The sequence below is a fragment of the Homo sapiens genome, chromosome 6, assembly GCF_000001405.40.
Source record: "Homo sapiens chromosome 6, GRCh38.p14 Primary Assembly".
NCBI lineage: Eukaryota > Metazoa > Chordata > Mammalia > Primates > Hominidae > Homo > Homo sapiens.
This window is the reverse complement of record NC_000006.12, coordinates 118,446,850-118,466,020: the sequence shown is the minus strand read 5'-3', so window position 1 is coordinate 118,466,020 and position 19,171 is coordinate 118,446,850. Positions and strand designations below refer to the sequence as shown.

Below are 19,171 nucleotides of genomic sequence, written 5' to 3'. Positions count from 1 at the left end.
GTGTGTGACACTTACTATGTATTTGAAAATTAATATTTTCATGGCAGTAAACCCACTTTGCAGTCGTAAATATGTAAGATACCACCTCTTACTACACAAATGGTCTTCAGATTTTGCCAAATGGGAAAAACTGAGTGCTCTAGTTGAGCTTGAAGAGAGACATTAGAGTATGCTTTTTTTCACTTTTGGAATATTGTTACCCATTAAACATGCTGAATTTGTGTGTATCACTGTGTGCATTTAATTCAGTTTAATTTGTGAAATTTATAAAGGACCAAGTGGATAAGATCTGTTTAATATTGAATGATGCATGATTTAAACATAACTTGAACCTGAGCCTCACTGGTATTCAGTGTGTAGCACTGTATTTCCATGATGATTAAGGTGAAAAATTCTAAAATGTCTTTGTTCAAAAAAATGTGAGATATTCTCTCTATGTTTTATTTACACAGCAATGAACTGTTCAGCTGAAGAGACTGAGAATGACCACAGCACAGAAACACTCACTAAAAAGCTGTCAGATGTGTGCCAGTTACGAAGAGACATTGATGAATTAAGGACTACAATATCAGACCGCTATGCTCAGGACATGGGAGACAACTGCATTACTCAGTGATCAAGTGTTAGTCCCACAGCAATAATGACCTGTTGTTTAAATGCTGCTGTGTTATGGAGCCATAATGGAAGGTTGCAAGTGACATGACTTGCACTTAGGGATTTTTTTTCTGTGGATTTGTTTTGTTGAAGGGGAGAAGGGAAGTGAAGAGATTTTGAAGGGGCTTATCTAATCAGGCAAAAAGAAAAAAAATCAAATTACCTTTGGAAAATATGATAAAATCTACAAGGAAAAAAATGTCTATATTCTCAAACTACTGATTGTAGGACCAAGCTGTGAAGAGTACCCTTCACATGAAGGAGTAGGATTCCTTTTAATCCTATAGCTTTGTGTGTTTGTGTGTGCATGTATGTGTGTTGTTGTGTGTGTGTGCACGTGCTTTATTCACAAATTTATAAGGGTTTCTAGGGTCAGAGCAGAGCTTCTGAGAAAGGCACACGCTGTTTATTCTTATATTTCTTTCATATAGAAGCTTGTGTTGTACTTTGGGATTTTCAGTGGCTGGCTGAACAAGAGTTCAAACAGCAGGCAAGTGTTGTCATGGTAGTACAGGAGGCAAAACCATTTATATTTTGAACACTTACTGCACTGATAGGATGTTTGTGGTTGAGCTGATTTTAGTACTGTAGATAGGTCAGCTGTTTTTCCAGAGTGATTGTGGATTTCCCAAGAGGTGTGAAATTTTGACGTGATGCTCTTTTTCCTTAGCATTGTAATGTATGTGTTACAAGAAAGGTTAACATAACTTGAACTAATTTTAACATGTTCCTTACTATTTACAATTTTTTATTTATATGTTTTATATATATACATATATAAATGTAAACAAAGCCATATATAATTAATAAAGGCATTGGATCATTATTATAAAAGGAAGATTAACAAAGTTACCCTGGAACAATAGCTTACTTATCCAAATCTCAACATTTACATTTTAACAGTTTTGTATGTTTCAAAGTTGAAACTACTGTAAGAGAAAGCCAATACTATTTATATCTGAATCAACAGTAGCATAAACATTTTTTAATTGAGATTGTATTTTAATCCCTTTTGTTAAAGTACATTAACAACAGTTTTTCACAGGATATGAACTTGGCGAAATTAGTTCTTAATCTGAATTACAGGGTATTACTATGAAATGCAGTTGATTTTGCAGTAGACGTACAGTCATTTAAACTTCCAAATGAGTGTTGTCCATGTTTCTGTTGGTATTTTGGAAGGATTATACATTTTATTGCCTTCAGCATTGATTATGTTCTTTTGAATATACTTAGTTTTGGCGAAAGCCTTGTCCTTTGTAAGTTGGTTTGATCTTGTGATGCAACCAAGTCTCATTTAGGTCAAGACTAAATAAGAGATGGAGGGGTAGAGGGTGTGACTCAAGCAGGATAATATTGATTTGATAAAGAGCATATCACATGCCTGTTTTCTTGCCAGATAAAGGGCATAGCACATGCCTGTTTTCTTATATACTAGAATAAAGGCTCTCCTAGGAAAGATTTTTCTTAAATATTTAAAAGTGAAAATGTGAGACAAGGCCTTCAAGGAGACTACCCAGGAAGATACACAGTTTAAAATGTTGGCTATACAGCTCTCAATAGATTATTTTATAGTTATAGTTGAATAATCAGTTATAATACACTGTAAAGAAATCAGATTTTCCTTCTGTTTGGTGTCTGAGTCCTTCCTGCTCTTCTTACTTCTGAGAATCTGGGCACTAAGAAATCAGTAAGTACATTGTAGTGCTCCTGCATCCCAGAGTCCTTAACCTAAGGAGGGTCTTAGTCACTGGTAAGAACTTGGCTTTCTAATTATATTCACTTGGTTTTTAACATTAGTAGCTTGACGATAATCAGGGTATAGTAAATTTCCACCAAAAATGTGATGCGAAGAATTCTGCCTTGGTCCTTTATGGTAAAACAGATAATAACGTCTAAAATAGATCAGCCACAAGTGCAGCAAATATTTTTACACTCTCTTTGAATAGAATCCCAACCACCCTCCCCCATGATTTTAGAAATAAAGGCTTCCTAAAATAATAGAACAAATTGGCAAACAATCACTAATTGGACCAGTAGGTTCTTACTTAAATATCTCTCCTAGATTTTTAGTGTATGTTTTGGGATTTTATGGGTTTATTTATTTTTTTTTTTTTAAGCAGACGTTACAGTTTGTTTTAATCTACTATAGATACGTTTTTGTTTTTTGGCTTAGTTGGGGATAAAATAATTTATTTGTAAGTTAGCTTTCTAAAACTTAGAGAAAGTAATTTAATTCACGTATCTTAAAAATAAAATTCCAAAGTTAAAAAATTTCTGACTTAGTAGGAAGTTAACAAAACTACTGCTGATGCATTTCAGTTTCCAAAATCTGTACCCTCCCCCCATAAAAAAGGGAGTTAAGATGTGCTAGTTTAAGTAGTTAGCTGAATTATAGATTGATCCTCTTAAAATCTGGAGTTTGTAAAGGGGCCTACATAAACAGTAGATAGACTTGGAGGGATTTTGTGGGGGAATTGAAACTAATAGTATTCTATCTAGTTTGTCAGTATTTACTTTTTGATTTTTATTTTTCAGAAAATTTTCCTTTCCCAGGACACCCTCTTGTATTAGAATATCCTCTTCTGTATCACATTAAAAACAGATTTTACTGTTAGACCAAATAAGATGGGCAAATAGCAACACTAGAGCATCTCACCCAGTTTGAACTAGGATGTTCGTGGAAGTTATGACACCAATATATTCCTGAAATGAAAATTAACCTAAATTTTAAAGTGAATCTATTTGAAAATTTACTTAGATAATGAAACCTCGTTTTAATTGTGCTTTTTGTGAATCCAACACTTGTTTGCTTAGAAAGTATCTTATCCAGTATTAATATTTTGTTCTTTTGGGTTTTAAAGTTGAGCTTATTCAGCCTCAATCACATTACAGCAAGCATAAAGTAACAGTTGACTCAATGAAAGACCCAAATTGCCTGTACAGATAAAATTCACTGAATCAAAGGCACAATAGCTATCTTTTCACTTGAGCTCAGAAAAGTAAAATGGCTTAATTTGAACTATTAATTTTCAGTGGCCTCTAATTAAACAAAAACAAAAAACCACAAATACTGGCTAGGTAAGATATTCCTGAGGTCATTTTAAAAGAAGTGTGGCACCTAGGATTCAATATTTAATGCTAACAGTATTATATTTTAGTGAAATTTATTTTGGTGGTGACAGTTTATTAAACCTAATTAGACTTCTTTCAATAGCTTGTTGTAGAGACAATCTCAAGGGCTGGAAAGTGTTGCTAAAATGAATGTCATACATTTCTGATATACTAAGGAGCTTATAAAGTAATTCTTTCATAGTGCAAGAATTATTAATTTCTTAGAGGATGTTTTTAAAGGAGCTACTTAATTGGGAAAATGTTCTTTAAATATCAGTAATAGTTCATTAAGTAACATAGTAGCTAAGAACATGGACTATATTTTCACAGCATAGTTCAGCTTAGGCACACCTTTAGTTTGGATTATTGGCATTCTCTTACGTAGGAATTATATCATTGTAGATATGTAATTATGGTAATAAGCAATTTTCATAACCATGCTCACTCAGACTATATCATTTGAAACTGCCATGTTTCCATTTTTGACAATTCATGTTCACAAAACAACAGGAACAATTTCCTATTTGGTATAAAGAGCAAAATTTCCAACTTTGCCCCAAAATGCCATGGGTGGCATATTGCCATATGATTATATCATATATTTAATCATGTATGGGAAAGATTTTGGATTTTTTTTCTTATTTAAAAAAGTGCTAAATATAAGAATATAGTTTTAAATCAGCAAGTCTAATAACACTATTGCAGCTGTACACAGAGAGAACCTTTTGTGCCTTTTTGCCTGCAGTAAGCATTTATTTCTATTTTACATGAGTTCTAAGAATGTTGATGATTATTGCACCTTGTTCTTCTGTATATAAACTTGATTAAGGAATTTTTTTTTTTAAAGCAAGGAGCCGTTTTTTGTTACTAGGTGGATACCTTAGTAAACATGAGGGGAATTATCAGATAGATGTCTTTGGAGCCCAGCCTTCCCTGTGTAGTGAGCTGGAAACTCCTTTAGATTGTATTCATTGGTGTGTATGTATATGTACATATATGTATAAATAGTTAAATACATAAACATAAAACTTAACATCGCATTGTTGTGATGACAAGAAGTAGTAAGGTGCTAGGTGGTTACATTAAAAAGCACAGCACAGTGTATAATCAGTCACTATGACTGGTGGTTTTGTAAGCTGGGTTCAGTTTTTGAACCACCCAGAATACCTCATGTGTAAATACAGTGTTCATGACTTAATTGAAATACAGTTATTGTTTAAAAAAAAAAAAAAAGAATGTGAAGCCACTGGTTGGCTTATGCCTTCTGATCTATCATTCTTGCCTCTTTTTTTGTAAAGGGGTTTTCTTCTTGTTGTTCTGTTTTTTAATAGGGTTTACAGCTAGAATTTTGAATGCCAAAGTTCTATTTATTAAATTAAGAAAAAAGTTTTCAATGTTAATGGCTAGTATTTTTCCACTGGACTATTGTTTGTTGATGTTGGAATTTGTATTTACAGAGAAATAAATTTTTTATAAAAAGATTTATGTCCTCTAAGAGCCTAATGTTAGTATAAGAATGTATTTGTACTTTCAGACTCTCTATTCTGAATTCTCAATGACAAGAATGTGCTGTCTTGACTTTTAGGTGAAAGCTTTGTATAAATGCACAGGAGAATCTTTGACTAAAACATGGAGAATTCTGCCTTCTATCTTATAATTTCTTTCCAATTACAAAAAAGCTTTTTCTCAGGGCCTTCTCATAAAGGGTACTGAGATTTTCTGATGGCAGGTACTGTAACATAGGAAATCATGCCTGTGTCCATTTCAGTTAATAGCACAGTGTCTCCTTTCTGACTTTCTAGAATCCCTGTTTAAACCAGGAGTCTTCTTTCTAGTTTTCCAACAGACAGAATCTGACTTCAGTATTCTACGTTGCTGAAAGTTTTGGTTGGCAAGTTAAATCTTTTATTTTCCACCCTCTAATCAAAGGTTAAGAACGTACTAAGACATATGCAAATAAAGCCTACAGGGGCCCTGACATCTCAGCTTTGGTGGTTTGCCAGTCTAGTCTCAAAAGTGCCCTGCGGATGGCATCCTAAGTCCTTGTTCTAACACATGTGGGTTATAACCTCAGTTTTTTCTTTTTTTTATTCTTTTTTTTTGTGACGGAGTCTTGCTCTGTCCCCCAGGCTGGAGTGCAGCGGTGCAATCTCGGCTCACCACAACCTCCGCCTCCCAGGTTCAAGTGATTCTCCTTCCTCAGCCTCCCGAGTAGCTGGGACTACAGGTGCGTGCCACCATGCCCGGCTAATTTTTGTATTTTTAGTAGAGATGGGGTTTCACTATGTTGGCCAGGCTGGTCTCAAACTCCTGACCTCGTGATCCACCTGCCTCAGCCTCCCAAAGTGCTGGGATTACAGGTATGAGCCACCACGCCCAGCCTATAGCCTCAATTTCTACAGGCAGTTGGTTAATGTTTGGATTAGCGGTATCTGTTACCAGTTTAGATAATTTGGCATTGCTCTGTTGGAGTGTTTAATGAGTTAACTCATTAAAGTTAACAGGGAAAGAAACACTTTGGAGATCCTGCATCACAGGCTACTTAGGTTGCAAGCAAATGTCTTAGAAATAAGAGCAGGAAGGATAAAATCCTAGAATATTACTAAGGTGACCGGTAAAGAAGTTTCTCCTTCAGAATGAAAGGACTATTTTTGACCTGGAAAAAAAGTTTTTTGATAGGGGAGGGAGGTGATCAACAAAAAGCTTTTGATAGGGTACATCCTAGGATTTTGCCAATAGTTTGAATTTCTTTTATGACAAGTTTCCCCAACCAAACAATCATTCTATGTCGAAGAGCAGAGGACTCAGTTAAAAAGAGGTATGAAATAGGATGTTAATAATGGCACAACATGGCAGAGTGGATCCAGTAGAGCAACAGTTTACAAATGAATAGCTCTCTCACATGTCAGTTAAGACATTCTCCTTGATTTAGAGGAGATTCCAGTTTTGGAAATTATAGTAAAAGTTTTTTAAAAAAAATTTAAGTAAAATTGCTATCCTTGGCAGATACCTGATGTGATCACAAAAAGAAAAAATCTTTTCATTTTAGCCAACATGTTTTTAAACAATCTCACTTCATCTCTGTTGAGTACCTGCTAATAAAAGTTTTAAACTAAACGTACACGTGTCCTTGACCAGGAAATTCTACTCTTAGGTGTTTATTTGAGATGAATAAAAACATGTTCACAAAGACTTGTAGATGAATGTTCATGGCAGGTTATTCAAAATAACCCCAAACTGGAAACAGCCCAGAGGTTCGTCAGTAAGATCTTTCCATCCAGAGTTGAAAAATAGCATTCTTTTACAACCTTGGGTTCTAACTGATTGAGAGTCACTTTATTCTATATACTTTTTGGAAAATGGAGTAAGTTTAATACATAACAAAGTAGTGGATAGGAATTGGGAAACAGACCTCCCATTTACCAGAGGACTTTGGTTTACACTTCCCTCTGGAGGATTGCGCTTTGTCATGCTGCCACCCTTGTTCCATGGGTCTCCCCAGTTAAAGTGAAGCACTTGGTCTCATTCTTCTTGAAACAAACTTTTTATATCATTGTTTGTTAATTGTTTGAGTGCCAGTCTTCCACCAGACTTTGAGCTCTTTTAGGACAAGCACCTTGTCAAACTTTGTGTTTAATTAGCAACTAGGATAAACTCACTTCCAGAAATGTGTACATACCTGCCCTTTACCCCAGGGTGGAGGAGCTCTATTTTCAAGGAGAAAATGTAGTCTTTTAAGCACAGCCCTAGAAGGACATGGAGCTTTTAATGGAAAGAGGGTATAGTGATAATAAGTCCTACTTAAGCAAGTTGCATTTTAGTATCTCCTGCAGCTGTACACTTTCTACCCTTCTGTAGGTCCAGGCCACAGGATTGGACACAGTTGTTTCCCAGCTCCAGTGCTCTCAGAGGATAACATTCTCACTGGACTTTAGGCCAGCTGCATAGATATTGTAAAAGCAAATCGAAAGTCTGGCTTAAAAGAGGAACAAAATATCAATTCTAAAAATCAATGCATGGCTGGGCATGGTGGCTCACGCCTGTAATTGCAGCACTTTGGGAGGGCAAGGTGGGTGGATCACCTGAGGTCAGGAGTTTGAGACCACCCTGGCCAACATGGTGAAACCCTGTCTCTACCAAAAATAGAAAAAATTAGCCAGGCATGGTGGCTGGTGCTTGTAATCCCAGCTACTTGGGAGGCTGAGGCAGGAGAATCGCTTGAGCCGGGAGGTGGAGGTTACAGTGAGCCGAGATCGTGCCACTGCACTCCAGCCTGGGTGACAGAGTGACACACCATCTCTAAATAAAGAAAATTAAAAGTGAATGCAGCTGGGCATGGTGGCACATGCCTGTAATCTCAGCTACTTGGGAGGCTGAGGCAGGAGAATCGCTTGAGCCAGGAGGTGGAGGTTGCAATGAGCCGAGATCACGCCACTGCACTCCAGCCTGTGCAACAGAGTGAGACACTGTCTCTAAATAAATAAATTAAAATAAAATAAAAATGAATGCAGCTGGGCATGGTGGCACATACCTGTAATCTCAGCTACTTGGGAGGCTGAGGTGGAAGGTGGAAGGGTCACTTGGGCCAAGGAGTTCAAGATTAGCCTGGGCAACATCACAAGACCCCATCTCAAAAAACAAAAACAGAAGGCGGGTGGGGGTGGGGCGCAGAAAGCAAGTAACAAGTTACACCCAAAGAAACTAATCAAAATAAAGGCAGAATTACTTTTCAAAATGAATGAAGTTGCATCTGCATATATACACACGTCTAGAATATTTTAAATAGTACAGTTGACAACCCTCGTAAACAAGGAAGCAAGGTAATTTACATTCTTCATTCCTATACTGACCATATAGTCATGAAACATGGTTGTTTAGTGGCCTGTGGTGACTAAAACACTGCACAGAAGTGTGTCTTCTATATCATCATCATCATCATTATTAACCAACATTTGAGCACATGCCAAGTAAAAAGACCTTGCATAAATTATCCCATTTATTCCTCTATATAATACCCTATGAAGTAGGGCATTATTATTATCAGGGTGCTATTATTATCCCCACTTCAGGCAAAGAGATTGAGACACGGGGTTTATGTATCTTGTCCAAGTTGGAACAGCTTGAAAGAGGCAGAGCTGTAATAAGAAAGAGGCTGCTTTGTGCCCCTCATGAGGCTGCCTCTTGTCCCAGGTTTGTGCTCAAAATTAAATTCATTTCCTCTTTCCCAAACCTCATTGGGAAGGCTTCATCACAGGGCTTCACCATTTCTGTGAGTTGCACCTCCATTCCACTAATCCTTTTGGTGATTTCTTCTCCCTCACATCTAATTTTTAGTAATTTCCTATTGCTTCTATAACAAATTATCAAAAATGTATTAGCTTAAAAGAATAAATTATCTTACAGGTCTAGAGGTCAGAAGTCCAAAATAAGTCACACTGAGCTAAAATCAAGGTGTTGGCAGGGAGTCTTTAGGAGAGAATCTGTTTTTTGTTTTTTTTTCCAGCTTTTGAGGCGATCACATTCCTTGGTTCATGACTCCATTCTTTGGTCTTCTAAGCCAGCAATATCAGGCTGGGTTCCTCTCACAATATCATTTCTTTGGGTCTCTTCTGCTTCTCTTTCCCTTTTAAGAACCCTTGTGATGACCTTGGGCCCACTCAGATAATCCAGGATAATCTCCGTATTTCAAGGTCAGCTAATTAATAACTTTAATTCAATCTGCAATCTCAATGCCTCCTTGCCATGTAATTTAATGTACTCACAGGTTTCAGGGATTAGGATGTGAACATCTTTGGGAGGGCCATTGTTCTATCCTTCCACACCACATCCTAAACAAATTATTTCTCAAATCTGAATTTTAAGAAGAAAAACATTAAGTCTTTGCAGAGAATTTCTGAACTTTTTTAACATTGCCATTTGTCAATGTCTTAGAGGATGTGCCATAATCTGGATTTGTCTGTTTTCTCATTATTAGATTCAGGTTAAACATTTGTAGCCAAACTCCTACATTAGTAATGTATATTTCTCATTCATCATATTAGGAAGCTCATGATAACAGTTTATATTATCATTGGTGCTGCTAAATTATATCTTGTGGTTAAGCAGAAACACCTTTAATTTTAAGTTAAATAGAGGACAAGTGACAAGGCTTTGGTTCATGTAAGGTAGGGAGTTGGAACTAAGACAGTTACATAAAACCAAGATTCTCAAATGATCACATTTTCAATGAAAGGAAGAGATAGAAAATCTACCCCTTAGTCAAAGGAAATTAAAAGGTTATTTGGTTTTCAAGGACTTAGCTCAAGATGAAAAACGTCCCCTTGAGAATTTGCAACCATAATCTTACATTCATGTAGAGTGGAGTTTGAACTTGTGTTTGGGCCCTAGAAATCCTGAGGCCAGAAGTTGACTTAAAGAATTCTGAGTTGGTAACTTCCTGGGAATCTTGGATGAAACAAGACTGATCTTCCCTGGAATGATTCCTCACAGAACTCCCTCTATACATGAGCTCAAAATCCAAAAATTTTTAAAAAGTCAATAGAATGAACAAATAAGTTAGATCCTAAGTATTTCAAATAATGGAATTATCAGATGTAGATTATAAAAGAGGAATTACTGTATGATTAGATGTATATAAAGTTCTGAACCATGTAAAACTTACCATGAGAAGAGTAGAAAGAGCACAAGATAACTTCTGGATTTCTGGGAATGTTCCATTTCTTGATCTGTGTGAGGTTTACATAGATGTGTTCACTTTGTGAAAATTCATCAAGCTATATTCATAATGTGTGCACTTTTCTGTATGTCATAATTTTTTTTTGAGTCAGAGTTTTGCTCTGTTCCCCAGGCTGGAGTACAGTGATGTGATCTCAGCTCACTGCAACCTCCGCCTCTGGGGTTCAAGCGATTCTCATACCTCAGCATCCAGAATAGCTGAGACTACAGGCATGTGCCACCATAACTGGCTAATGTTTTGTATTTTTAGTAGAGATGGGGTTTCGCCATGTTGCCCAGGCTGGTCTCAAACTTCTGAGCTCAGACAATCCACCCATTTCAGCCTCCCAAAGTGCTAGGATTACAGGCATGAGCCACTGTGCCCGGCCTGTCTATGTATCATAATTTAATGAAAAGTTTGCACTAAAAATAAAGAAATTTGAAAAGGAATCAAAATTTTTAGAAGTGAAAAATATGATAATTAAAACTCAGTGGAGGAGGCAGCCAGCATCTGAAGGAGCTGTGATAACCATCTCCAAATGCAACCATGAAGCTGAAGGAGACAAAATCAAGATCAAAACCATCAAACTATTGGAAGTTTCAGATGAAAGGAATCAAGATTGTGGGGAAATGGAAGCAAGTGAAGGTAGACCCAAATATGTTTGTAAGTGGACAGATGGCTGATGTGGTATGCTTTGAGGAACTGAGATTACTGGTTGGTCCCCTCTGCCAAGAATTCCTCCAGTCTCTTCTCAAAGGAGGCATCCAAGAAGAAAAAGGCACCAGCTGTTTGAGAAGAGGAGGAAGTAAAGTGTAGCTCCTCAAAGAAAATGATCAAGTTGAAGAAAAGTAAAGATGTGGAAACTGAAGGAATTAGTGTCCAGAAAGAGTTTGAAGTCAAAGATGCTGAACCAGAGCCAAATCGGAGATGGTATGATTTGTCCTGACCCAGAGGAGAGGAGAGGGCATCAGAAAGCCCGGCCCAGATTGTTCCAAAAGAGAAGAAAAAGGGAAAAAATTAAGCCTCCCCATGGCACTGTCCCAAAGGTGCCCCAAAAAGCAAAGACACTGATGCCTGACTAGAAGGTGAATGTATCAGCTTGAAGGACTTTTTATGTCCAAGCCATTCTCCAAGCAGCAGGTTTTCTAGGTTTCTCTGCACCTACACCAGTCTAAGAAGCCCTGACTTTGACACCTGTCATCTGTGACAAACTAGACATCCTTGGGGATGCTGAGACAGGATATGGGAAAACTCTTGTCTTTGTCATTCCAGTGATTCAAGCAGTATTGGCAGTGCTGGAGTAGTAAGCTTGCCCTAACTCCAAGTAACACTAAATACCACCTGGAGAGCCCAGAACTGAGTCCAGAGCTGAGACTGGATCACTAAGCAAGGCTGGAACTGAGTCGGGAATGTTGCCTGATGAGACTGGAATCGAGAGTGAAATACTCCCCTGTGAAGCTGAGCTAAGGCTAGAGTACCACCCAACAAGGCCAGAGCAAAGACCAGAGCTTCCCCCTCAAACCAGGTGCTGTTCTTCTATGATGATGATGCTGGTAAAGAACTTTCTTCCCTTAACAAGGCATGAGGACAAAGAGGAAAGGCTTGATAAAGAGCAAACTGGAATGTCAAAACAAGAGTTGAATGGCAAAGTTGCTACCTGTAAAGGACATCTAAAACATCACCTGCTTGGACTGGTCCTGATTCCCACTTAAGAACTGGCCATCCAGGTCTAATAACCCTTTGATGCTGCAGCCAAGTTTATGGGAATTAAAACTGCTATTTTGTTCGGTGGCATATTCATGCACAAATAGCAGAGGATGCTCAGGTGTCAGCCTGATATTGTGATCAGCCGTTCAAGCTGACTGTGGGAGCTGGTTAAAGAAAATCACCTTCATTTGAGCAGCCTTCAGCAGTTCAGGTGCCTGGTGGTAGATGGGGCTGACTGGATGATTGAGAAAGGCTACTTTGCTGAGCTCTCACAGTTGCTAGAGATGTTCATGACTCCCAATACAACCCAGAGAGACAGACACTTGGATTTTTGTGTCGCAGTGATGCTGGTACATCAAGCTGCTGCATGAATCCTTTATAAGAAGCACACCAAGAAAATGGACAAAACTGCCAAACTCGACCTTCTCATGCAGAAGGTTGGCACGAGGGGCAAGTCCAAGGTCATTGACCCCCACAAGCAATGAAGTCACAATGGAGTTGCTGACAGATACCAAGATCCATTATGAGACTGATGAGAAAGACTTCCACCTGTACTACTTCCTGATGCAGTATCCAGGCCTCACCTTAGTGTTTGCCAACAACATCTCTTACATCACACACCTTTCTAGGCTCCTCAAAGTCCTAAATGCTGCTGACCCTACATACTCGCATGCACCACAAGCAGAGAGTCAGATACCTGGAGTGGCTTGCCTGTATGGAAGACTGTTCTCCTGGGAACAGATGTGGCAGCTTAGGATCTGGATACTCCTAAAGTCCAGCATGCCATCCACTACCAGGTCCATTGCACCTTGGAGATTTATGTCCGTTCAAGTGGTTGAACTGCTTATGCTGCCAATGAAGACCTCGGCCTAATGCTGATTAGGCCTGAGGACAAGATCAACTTTAATAAGATTTACAGAGCCCTCTAGAAATAAAGTGCATGAATGTGGTCAAGGAGCAAATCCATTTTGCTTTACGAAGAAAGCTGAGTATTTGAACTTCCAGGAATGTCTGCACAGTTCTTGGATTGAGGGTGTGGTGTCTGTTCTGCAAATTGAACAGAGATTGAACAAATTGTAAAAAGATATATAAAGGAGGAAAAGCTGATCAAGAAAAAGAGTGTCGAAGACAAAAGCAGGTGAAGTTCCTACTAGAAGGAGCCACACTATTTGTTTTCCCAACCATTATTTAAATATGACCTGAACTGCAAGTATCCAACTCAATTGGGTAAGATGCCTATGCTCATGTCTGCCCCAAGAAGTGGTGAATCTGCTTTGAACTGCTTCTCCAAACAAGGAGGAGGAAGAGAAAAAAGTAGGAGAGAGAGGGAGAGGAAGAAGGGGACAAAGTTTGTTGGTGACCACACAGTGGTATCTCTGTTCTCTGATCATATGTGAAAACCTTTCCTTCCCACCCTTTAATTTCATTCCATAATCAACCTCAATTAGAAAAATCTTCTCTTCCACACCAATGGCCTGTAGCAGGAGAGACCTCATGCAGATTTGTGGATATTCCTAAAGTCCAGCATGTCATCCAGTCCATTACCAGGTCCATTCCACCTTGGAGATTATGTCCACTCAAGTGGTTGAACTTCTTATGCCACCAATGAAGATCTCAGCCTAATGCTGATTAGGCCTTATTTTGGAATAAGAATCATATGCAGCAGCTTCATATTTATTCCAGTGTATAGGCTTCCTTTATGTTCAACCAGACTTCCTAAATTAAAAATTATGGTCAGAAAAAAAATCAGTGTAACAGTTAAATAGCCCATTAGATACAAATGAAGAGAGAAGTAGTGAACTAGAATATAGTCAAGAAGAAATTATCTAGGAAAGGAGTTTTAGAAACATGGCAGATATAATGAGAAGGTTTAATAAAAAAATTAATTGGAGTTTTCAAAAGGAGAGAATTGATAAAATGGGAAATAGGAAATATTTAGAGATTATATTTATTTGAGCAATAGTTCAGGATTGGTAAATTTTTAAGGAGAGAGAAGGGCATGAATTTGGAGATTCATGAAATGCAATGAAACCCAAGGCAGAAAAAAATTTTTTAATGCCATCTGGATACATTTAGTAAAACTCAGAATCTGAAAGTTTAAAAGGTACTTAAAGGAGGTAGACAGTCAAAGAGAGTAACTTCAAAGAAGCAGTTAGACCAGCAGAATTCTCAATAGCAATAACAAAAGATGGAAGACAGTAGAATGGTATCTTCTACATGCTGAGACAAAATAATTCAACATAGAATCATGTAAGTTTTTCACAAATGAGAGCAAAATATATTTTTCATAAAAACAAAACTTGGAAAGAGTTTAACATCAATGGGCCTTACTAAAGGAATTCTCAAGGACGAATTCCAGGAAGAAAAAATTAAATCCAGAAAGGAAGTTTGAGAAGAAAGAGGAACAGTGAAAAATGAAATTGGTATACAAATAAACACTGACTGTATAAAACATGAACCAATACAAGTAATATCTACTGTGTAGGCTTTATTATGTTGAGTAATTTATATCAGTAAGGGGTATTTAATTTTGTTGAGTGCTTAATTTCCATCAGTTAAGATGAACATGTGAGATTTTTATCTTCATTCTATTAATATGGTATATTACATTGTTTGATTTTTGTATTTTGAACACCCTCCAGGAACAAATCCCACTTAGTCATAGTGTATAATCCTTTTCATTAGCTGCTGACTTTGGTTTGCTAGTATTTTGTTGAGGTCCCTTCTGACTTTTTTTTAAAAAATATTTTCTGTTTTTTGTTTTTTTATTTTTTTAGCAAAAAAAAATGCACTTAGAAGTGTTACTGTTTGTGTTTTATTCCTTCTTAGATTGAATACAGCTCTTTGATTCTGTGGGTTAATGTCTTTCATTAGTTTTGGAAAATTCTCAACCATTGTTTTTTGTTTTATTTTTTATTTTGGAGATGGAGTCTCGCTCTGTCACCCAGGCTGGAGTGCAGTGGCCTGATCTTGGCTCACTGCAACCTCTGCCTCCCGGGTTCAAGAAATTATTTCTTTATTGTTTTTTTCTCACTCTCCTCTTCTTATTTTTTTCTCAATCTCCTCTTCTTGTGATTTTTTTTCACTCTCCTCTTCTTCTATGACTCTGTATTAGTCCATTCTCACACTGACATAAAGAACTACCTGAGACGGGGCAATTTATGAAGAAAAGAGGTATAATTGACTCAAAGTTTTGCAGACTGTAGCGGAAGCATGGTTGGAGAGGCCTCAGGAAACATAATCATGGAAGAAGGGCAAAGGCTAAGCAAGCACCTTCTTCACATGGTAGAGCAGGAGAGAGAGAGTAAAGGGGGAAGTGATGTGCACTTTTAAACAACCAGATCTCATGAGAGCTGCATCATGAGAACAGCAAGGAGGAAGTCTGCCCCCACGATTCAGTTACCTCTCACTAGGCTCCTCCTTCATCACATGGGAATTACAATTCTACATGGAATTTGGGTGGGGACACAGAGCCAAGCACATCAGACTCCAATTACTTGTACCTTCTATTTTTATCTCTATGTCTCTTATGTTTTTTGCTATTTATTGCTCTTCTTCATTCTGAATATTCTCTTCTGATGTATCTTACAGTTCACTATTTATTTAACTATATCTGTAAAATCTATCCACTGACTTCTTAATATCAATTGTATTTTTCAGTTCTAGAATTTCCATTTGTTTTTTCCTTAAAATTTTCAGTTTTCTACTAACATTTACAATTTTTTCATTTATTTCTTGAGCATATTAAGCATGAATATTTAAAAACCCACCATCTGTACTCCCAACTTGTCTGTTTCTACTGTCTGTTGTTTCTCTTCGTTTTAATAAGCTTTTGTTTATAACCTTTTGTTTCTTCATATACCTGGAAATTTTTTATTGAGAGTTGAATATTACATATGAAATATTTATAGACATAATTTGAGCTTCTGGATAACTGCAAACCTATCTTCCAAATTGCAGAACCATTTTACACCACAAGCAGTGAGTGAGACCTACTATCATTTCACATGCTTGTCAGCATTTGGTGTTGATTTTACCCATTCTAACAGGTGTGTAGTGATATTTTATTGTTGTTTGAATTTGTAATTCTCTATAGATATGATGTTGAACTTCTTTTTGTATGCATATTTGCCTTCTGTATGTCTTCTTTGGTGAGATATCTGTTTGGATCTTTTCTGCATTTTTTAGTTGGATTGTTTATTTTCATATTGTTGAGTTTTTAGAGTTCTTTATATATTCCAAATACAAGTGCTTTATCAGGTATACGTTTTCCAAATATTTTCTCCAAGTTTATGGCATATCTTTTCATTATCTTAATAATGTCTTTCTTAGAAGTTTCTAATTTTAATGAAGTCTATTTTTTCAAATGTGAAGAATTGGGCTGGAGGGTGTATTTCTTTTTCTTCACTTATTTGTGACATGTAAATTGTAAAATTATTATTCAGGTATAATAGCTATTGAATTGTCATCAAGCAATTATTTTTAAAATTACATTACTGTCAATCTTGACTTTTAATTTACAAAGCAAGACAAATGAATTCACATTCTCTATGACTTTATCCCAGATTTCCCTAGCCCTGAAACAGCTAGCCTGGAAAACTTTCCAGCCAGAAGTTATCAAAACTGGGGACACTATGGAAAAACAGTGTATTTAATGACCTTGAGCTGTCAGTCCATCTATCCAGGGATTAATGCTTTCATACAAGAGTGCTATGCTTGGAATATATAATAGGAATATGTAAATTCACTTAAATTTAATTGAATGATTAGATTCAATTTATGTAAAAATTGAAGCTTCTTTTCAACTTGAAAATGGTGATGTGTTTTGTTTCATAAATCTGTAAAAGATAATTTTCCAAAAAAGTAACATCATGACTCCTATGAATATAAAATGAACAGATGTCAAAGATTTCAACTCATTAATTAAATGAGAGAATTGGAAAAACTTTTTCAACTGATTCGAGAGAGAACCCAAAGAATGAAGACACTTATATATCAAGAATATTGAAATGAATTTGCAAGTGGTTGCAAAACTGACTTTCTATCATGGGGAAGGGAAGTTAATTGAACCTCCACTAGACACAATTTATTGCATATCCATAGACTAGAATTATGCATAGACAATTATTTTGCTTTGCTATCAGTCACCTACAACTTTTAAAAGTTTAAAATAGCTCAATGGTGATGAAAGGCTTACATCGAATAACTTGGAAGAGTGTGCTCTAAACAATGCATAATTTCTATTAAAAATAACCATAACCATTTCTGCTTATTTCAAATTTTCTTACAATTTTTTTTTCTTGAGACAGAATCTCACTCCATACCTCAGGCTGGAGTGCAGTGGTGTGATCCCTGCTCACTGCAAACTTGACCTGCTAGGCTCAAGCAATCTTCCCACCTCAGCATCTTGAGGAGCTGGAACTACAGGTGCGTGCCACAAAGCTGGCTAATTTTTTAATTGTTTTTTTCTTTGTAGAGGTGGGGGTCTCCCTATGTTGCCTAGTCTAGTCTCCAACTCCTGGGCTCAAGCAATTCTCCCACTTAAGCCTCCCAAATTGCTCAGATTACAATTGTAAGTCACTATGCCTGGCCAAAATTTTCTTATGAAATTTTCTACGCTTCTATTTTTCTTTAGATTATAGGGCATTTGTATCACTTTAAACATTATTGAGGCTTATGGGAATAGGAGTTGATATGGTTTGGCTCTGTGTCCTCCACCTGAATCTCACCTTGAACTGTAATAATCCCCATGTGTCATGGGAGGGACAGGGTGGGAGGTAATTGAATCATGGGGGGTGAATTTTTCCTATACTATTCTCATGATAGTGAATAATTCTCATGATATCTAATGGTTTTGAAATGGGCAGTTCCCCTGCACATGCTCTCTCTTTTGCCAGCCACCATGTAAGACATGCCTTTCTCCTCCTTTGCATTCCGTCATGCTTGTGAGGTCCCCCAAGTCATGTGGAACTGTGAATCTATTAAACCTCTTTTTTTTTTTAAAATAAATTACCCAGTGTTGGGTATGTCTTTATTAGCAGCATGATTTTATTCTCTAAATAAAAATATTTAGAAAAGATACATTTACTTGATACATTTTATTTTCAATATGTTGGAAGCATGCCTCCTTTATGTTTTGCTCATCATTGACTGGATAGTTTTGTACTATATATCACATTTTTTTCAGCTTCTATATCTGATACTCAGGCAATGCATGTGCAAGAGCTCTCTACATCTTGATGAGGTAATACTTTCTATCATTAATATATTAACTAGTATTTGTTATTTCCTCTGTATTCTTTCTTCATACAGATCTAGATGTTTAGAAAGAATATCACAAAAGAGCTGGTTATGGTGGCTTGCACCTGTAATTCTCAGCACTTTGGATGGCTGAGGCAGGCAGATCACTTGAGTCCAGGAATTTGAGACCAGCCTGGCCAACATGGTGAAACCATGTCTCTACTAAAAATACAAAAAATTAGCCGAGTATAGTGGTATGCTCCTGTAATTCCAGTTACTTGGGAGGCTGGCTTGAACTCAGGAGGCAGAAGTTGCAGTGAGCCAAGATTGTGCCTCTGCACTCCAGGCTGGGTGATGAAGTAAGACTCTGTCTCAAAAAAAAAAAAAAGTATATTTTCCTAAACATATAGGAATTCCAACTACATGCATATCTTATTATATTTTTCTCTGCTAAAATGTAATCTCTATGACAGCAGGGAGTTTTTGTTTGTTTTGTTCAGATGTCACTCCCAGTGACGACATCAGTGCCTCACACACAGACAATGCTTAATAGCAGTTGTTGAATGAATGAACACATTTTACGTAATTACCAAGCACTGCAAGGTAATTGGATCTTCTCAGTAGGAACTCCTGCTACTAAGCAGCATTTATTAGTGTATGAAAATTAAAATATATTAAGTTATACTTTATTTGCACCATAAAAGGATCCTCACTGCCTATGTCTGACTGTGAACCCTACTT

The 19,171-nt window shown here is 37.0% G+C and overlaps 1 protein-coding gene and 1 pseudogene across 13 annotated transcripts in view; both read left to right on the top strand.

The window, feature by feature from the left end:
- CEP85L (centrosomal protein 85L) overlaps positions 1 to 5,249 on the top strand; it is a 249,318-nt gene extending 244,069 nt beyond the window's left edge. For all 13 annotated transcript variants that reach the window (XM_011535811.2, NM_001178035.2, XM_011535810.3 and 10 more), the window contains one exon: positions 453 to 5,249. In XM_011535811.2, the coding sequence (XP_011534113.1) occupies positions 453 to 616 (164 nt within the window). In that variant the 3' untranslated portion in view covers positions 617 to 5,249. The remainder of the gene's footprint in view (positions 1 to 452) is intronic.
- LOC644303 (ATP-dependent RNA helicase DDX24-like) lies at positions 11,969 to 13,124 on the top strand (annotated as a pseudogene).